Below are 6,662 nucleotides of genomic sequence, written 5' to 3'. Positions count from 1 at the left end.
CATCACTAATTTTTGTTATTTCTTGTCCTCTGCTAGCTTTGGAGTTAGTTTCCTCTTGATTCTCTAGTTCTTTTAGTTGTGATGTTAGATTATTAAATTGAAAATTTTCTAACTTTTTGATGTGAGCATCTGGTACTATAAATTTCCCTCTTAACACTGTCTTAGCTGTGTCCCAGAGGTTCTGGTATGTTGTGTCTTTGTTCTTATTAGTTTCATAAAACTTATTGATTTCAGCCTTCATCCATTATTTACCCAGAAGTCATTCAGGAGAAGGTTATTCAATTTCCACAAAATTACATGTTTTTGAGTGAATTTCTTAGTCTTGATTTCTAACTTGATTGTGCTATGGTCAGAGAGAGCGGTTGTTATGACTCTACTTTTTTTGGCATTTGCTGAGGAGTGTTTTGTCTCTGATTATGTGGTTGATTTTAAAATATGTGCCATATGGCAATAAAAAGAATGTATATTCTATTGTTTTTAGGTGGAGAGTTCTGTAGATGTCAATCAGGTCCATTTGATACAGTGCTGAGTTCAGGTCCTGGATATCTTTGTTAAGTTTTTGCCTTGATAATCTGCCTAATACTGTCAGTGGGGTGTCAAAGTCTCCAACTAATACTGTGTGGGAGTCAGCATCTCTTATTAGGTCTCTAAGAACTTGCTTTATTAGTCTAGGTGCTTCTGTGTTGGGTGCACATATATTTAGGATAGTTACATCTTCTTGTTGAATTGAGCAGGTTGCTCCTTGCCAGCATAACATACTCATTTTTCTGAGTCACTGGGGGCTAAGAATGAGTCCTACTGTGAGGTAGCCCCATGAAGGACTCCCAGCTTCCTTCCCCTTCAGCCCGGCTTCTGTGTCTTCCCTTCGTCTACTCCCAGTGCCTTCTCTTGGAATATCTGTTAGGAACACACCAGTTGTCCTTGTCCCTCCATAGCAGCTGTTCTACCTGGCTGTGTCTGGTCAGCTATCTTGCTGAGCTACATCCCTGTTCTATTCTCTAAGTCTATAAAATCAACTTTGTTAGATAACACAAATGTGTGAGATCATTAAGTATTTGTTCTTCCATGCTTGGCTTACTTCACTTAACATAATACCCTCTAGGCTTATCTGGTTGGTAGTGAATGACAGAATTTCATATTTTTTATGATGGAATAGTATTAAATTGTGTATATATACAAAATTTAAAAAATATATTTATTCTCTGATAGACACTTAGGTTCATTCCATACTTTGGCTCTTGTGAATAGTGCTACAAAAACATGGGATTGTAGATATCTTTCACATACTGATTTTATTTCCTTTGAATTGATTGTTTGACTATATGGTAGTTCTATTTTTGTTTTTTTTGAGAAAGATCCATACTGTTGTCCATGATGGCTGTACTTATTTACATTCTCAACAATAGTGTACAAATTCCCTGTTCTCCACATCCACACAAGCATTTCTTGTTTTTTATTCTTTTGATAAAATCCAATCTAATTGGCGTGAGCTAATATCATCCTGGTTTTGATTTACACTTCTCTGATGATTAGTAATGTTGAACATTTTTCCATATACCTGTTGGTCATTTGTATACCTTCATTTGAAAAATGTGTGTTCAGATATTTTGCCCATTTTTAATCAGATTTTTTAACTATGTTGAATTGTTTGAGTTCTTTGTGTATTCTACATATAAGCCTCTTGTAAGTTTGTAGCTATTTTCTTCCATTCTATAGGTTGTATCTTCACTCTGTTGATTGTTTCCTTTCTTTTGCATAAGCTTTTCAGTTTGATGCATTCCCATTTGGTTATTGTTGTTGTTGTTACCTGTGCTTTTGAGGTCTTATTCTGAAAAAAAGCATTTCCCCAACAAATCTTATAAAGTGTTTGTCCTGTTTTCTTCCAGTAATTTTATAACTTCAGTTCTTACATTCAAATTTGTAATTGATTTTGATTTGATTTTTGTATATAGTGATAGATAGAGGTCTAGTTTTATTTTTCTTCTTGTTGATATCCAGTTATCCCAGCACCATTTACTAGAGAGACTGTCATTTTTCCCAGTGTGTATCGTTGGCATCTTTATAGAAAATTTGTTTACTGTAAATGTGTAAATTTACTGCTGGGAACTCTATTCTGCTCCATTTGTCTATGTTTCTGTTTTTATGCCAGTAGCATGCTCTCTTGGTTATTATAGCTTTGTAATATATTTTGAAATCAGGAAGTATGATGCCTCCAGCTTTGTTCTTATTGCTCAAGATAATTACTTTGACTATTTAGGATCTTTTGTGATTCCATACAAATTTTAGGATGTTTTTTACTTTTATAAATAATAGCATTGGTATTTTCACAGGGATTATATTAAATCTATAGATTGCTTTTTGTTATATGTACATTTTAACAATATTAATTCTCCTAATCCATGAATATTTTTCTCTTTATTCGTGTCCTCTTTAATTTATTTTATCAATGTTTTATAATTTTATCATATAAATTTTTCACTTTTTTGGTTAAATTTATTCCTAAGAAATTTTTGGTAACGACTGCAAATGGGATTGTCTTCTTTATTTCATTCTAAGGTAGTTAACTGTTAGTATATAGAAATACTTTTCTGTGTTGATTTTGTATTTTGCAACTTTACTAAATTTGTTTATTAGTTGTAGTAGTTTTTGGTGTAGTCTTTAGTGTTTTCTAGGTATAAGATTATGTTATCTGAAAACAGGAATAATCTGACTTCCTCCTTTCAAATTTGGATGACCTTTTTTTCTTTCTCTTGACGAATTGCCCTGACTTGTACTTCCAGAACTATTTTGAATAGAAATTATGAAATTGGGCTTCCTTGCCTTCTTCCAGATCTCATAGGAAATGCGTTTTACTTGCCCTTACTTATGTGATGTTAGCTTTGGATGTGGTATATGGTATTAATTGTGTTGAGGTACATTCCTACCATACCTAATTTGTTGAGAGTTTTTAGCATAAAGGGATGTTGAATTTCTGTGTATAATAAAATAATCATAAGTTTTTTCTTCTTGATTGTATTAATATAATGTATGATGCACATTGATTTGCATATGTTCAATCACTCTTTCATCACTAGAATAAACCCCACTTGATCATGGTGGATGATCTTTTTAATGTGCTACTACAAAATTTGGTTTGTGAATATTTTGTTGAGAATTTTTGCATCTGTCTTCATCAGGAATATTGACCTGTGGTTTTCTGTTCTTGTTTGTTTCCTTTTCATTGTGTTCTTCTTTGCTTTTGGTATCCGGGTGTATTATTACGTTCTCATAGTGCTATGAAGAAATACCGGAGACTAGGTAATTTATAAAGAAAAAGAGGTTTAATGGACTCACAGTTTCACATGGCTGGGGAGACCTCACAATCATGGCGGAGGGTGAAGGAGGAACAAAATCAGTTCTTACATGGTGGCAGGCCAGAGAGCATGTGCAGGAAAACTGCCCTCTATAAAATCATCAGATCTTGTGACACTTATTTACTATCACTAGAATAGCACAGGAGAAAACCTGCCCCCATGATTCAATTACCTCGCACCAGGTCCCTCCCACAATACAAAGGGATTATGGGAACTACAATTCAAGATGAGATTTGGGTAGGGACACAGCCAAACCATATCACAGGGTAATGCTTGCCTTAGAGATTGAGTTTGGAATAATTGCCTTCCCTTCAATTTTTTGGAATAGTTTGAGAATAATTGGTATTAGTTCCTCTTTAAATGTTTGTTAGAATTCAGCAATGAAACTGTTGGATTTCTTTGATGAGAGCCTTTTTATTAATGATTCAATCTCATTACTCATTATTGGTCTCTTTGGGTTTTCTATTTCTCTATGATCCTCTCTTGTTAGGCTGTATATCTAAAAATTTATCAACTTTTTTATGATTTTTCAATTTGGGATGTATCTGTTCATAATTATTTGTATTTTTGTAGTATCAGTTCGTACTGACTCCTTTTTTACTTCTGATTTCTTTATTTAGATCTTCTCTTTTTCTTAGTCTTGTTAAAGTTTTGTTGATTTTGTATATCTTTTCAAAAAACCAACTCATTGATTTTTTAAAATTTATTATTGATCTTCTTTAGTTTCTATTTCTTATTTTTCTTTATTCATTCTTTTCCTCTATTGATTTTGGGGTTGTTTCATTTTTGCTTTTCTGCTTCCTTGAGATACACTATTAGATTGTTTATATGAAATTATTGTATTTTCTTGATGTCAGTGTTTATTACTGTAAACTTCCCTCTCAGCACTGCTTTAGGTGTATTCCGTAGGGTTCAAAATGTTGTATTTCCATTTTTATTTATCTCAAAAAAATTTTTAAACGTATTTTACATTTCTTATTGACCTATTTGTCATTCAGAAGCATATTGTTTGATTTCCATGTGTTTGTATAGTTTCCAAAATTACTCCTGTTATAAATTTCTAGTTTTATTGCAGTCAGAATGGATACTTGATATGATTTTGATTTTTAAAAAATTGTTAAGGCTTGTTTTTTGCCCTAACAGATGGTTTATTCTTGAGAATATTTTATATGCAATCCAGAAGAATGTATATTCTGCAGCTTTGGATAGAATTTTCTGTAAATATTTATTAGGTTTATTTGGTCTAGACTGCAGTTCAAGTCCAGTGTTTCTTTGATTTTCCATCTGGGTAATCTACTCACTGCTGAAAGTGAAGTGTTCCCTGCTATTATTATATCGAAGTCTGTATCTTCCTGTAGGTATATTAATATTTGTTTTCTATATTAAATTGTTCCCACATTAGGTGCACATATATTTACACTTGTTATATTCTCTTGCTGTATCGAGAACTTTATCACTATATAATGGGCTTTTTTACATCTTTTTACAGTTTTTGGCTTAAAGTCTATTTTACCTGATAAAAGTATTGCTACTTCGGCTCTTGTTTTGTTTCCATTTGTATTAAATATCTTTTTCACCCTTCACTTTATGTGTACCCTAACAGGTTAAGTGAGTCTCTTGTAGATAGAATATAGTTAGCTCTTTTTGCATTACCCATTTAGCCACACTGTGTTTTCTAATTAGAGAATTTATTCTATGTGCAATCAAAGTAATTATTAATAAGTAAGGGCTTACTACTGCTATTTCATTATTAGTTTTCTAGACCCTTTCTTTCTTACTTTCTTACTGTATTCTTTAATGGTTAAATAATTGTATTTTGTAGTATGTTTGAGTCTTTGCTTTTAATTTTTAGTATATCTATTGTACATTTTCATTTTTGGTTATGATGAGGCATATAAAGAAATCTTATAGTTTAGCAAGTTATAGTAGAATGATAACAACTTAACTTTAATTTCAATAAAAGGAAAATAAACAAAAAAACCTGTTCTCTTTAACTCCATTTTCCCTCCATATTTTGAATTACTGATATCAAATTTTATATCTTATATTGCTTATCTCAACAAATTATTGTAGTTATTTTTGTCTTTTGGTCTTCATACTGAAGATACAAGTGGTTTACACACCAGGATTACAGTATTAAAGCGTTCTGAATTTGTCTGTATGTTTACTTTTACTAGTGAGTTTTATACCATCAGATATTTTCTTATCATATGTTAGCACCCTTTGCTTTCACTTTGAAGAATTCTCTCTAGCATTTCTTGTAAGAAAGGTCTAGAGGTGATGAATTTCCTCAGCTTTTGTTTGTCTGAGAAAGTCCTTATTTTTCCTTCATTTCAGAAGGATACTTTTGCTGGGTACAGTATTCTTGGTTGGCAGCTTTTTTTTTTCTTCTTCAGAACTCTGAATATATCATTTCACTGCCTCTTGGCCTGCAAGATTTCTTCTGAGAAGCCTGTTGTCAGCTGTTTTGGAATTTTAAAAATATGTCATTTGCTTCTTTTGCTGCTTTCAGAAGCTACTCTTTGTGTCTGGCCTTTGAGAATTTGGTTATAATATGTCTTGGAGTAGGCTTATTTGGGTTGAATCTGAATGATGACCTTTAACTTTCCTCTACTGATTATTTATATCTTTTTCCAAGATTGAAAATTGTTCTCTCATTGTTTCTTTGAATAAATATCCTACTTATTTTTGTCTCTGCTCCCTCTTGAACTCCAATAACCCCAAAATTTGCTCTTTTGATGCTATTCCATTTGTCTCATATGCCTTCTTGAGTCCTTTTCATTCTTTTTTCTGTTTTTCCTTCTGACTGTGAATTTTCAACTAGCTTGTATTCAAGTTCACTGATTCTTTCTTCTGCCTGATAAACGCTTTATCTATTGCATTTTTTACTTCATTCAGTATATTTTTCAGCTCTAGAATTTCTGTTTGATTTCTTTATTATTATTTTAGTCTCTCTGTCAAATTTCTCTGATAATTTTTTAAATTGTTTCTTGATGTTTTCATGAAGCTCACTGAGCTTCCTTTACACAGCTATTTTGAATTCTTAGTGTAACTGATCATACATCTCCATCTCTTCAGAGCCTGTCACAGGAACCTTGTTGTGTCCTTTTAATTAGGTCCTAATTTTCTGATTGTTCTTGATGCTTGTGAATATATCTACACATTAAAGAATTAGTTATTTATTCCAGTCTTTGCAATCTAGCTTTGTTTTTTCTGTTCTACTACAATGGGTCTGTCTAGTAATGTAAGCAGACTAACTGTTGTCAGGGCTCATAACCACTGAAGCTATAAATAAAAAGGAAGGTGAGG

Source organism: Homo sapiens, chromosome 11 (genome assembly GCF_000001405.40).
Source record: "Homo sapiens chromosome 11, GRCh38.p14 Primary Assembly".
NCBI classification, from domain to species: Eukaryota; Metazoa; Chordata; class Mammalia; order Primates; family Hominidae; genus Homo; species Homo sapiens.
This window is presented reverse-complemented; position numbering follows the sequence as displayed.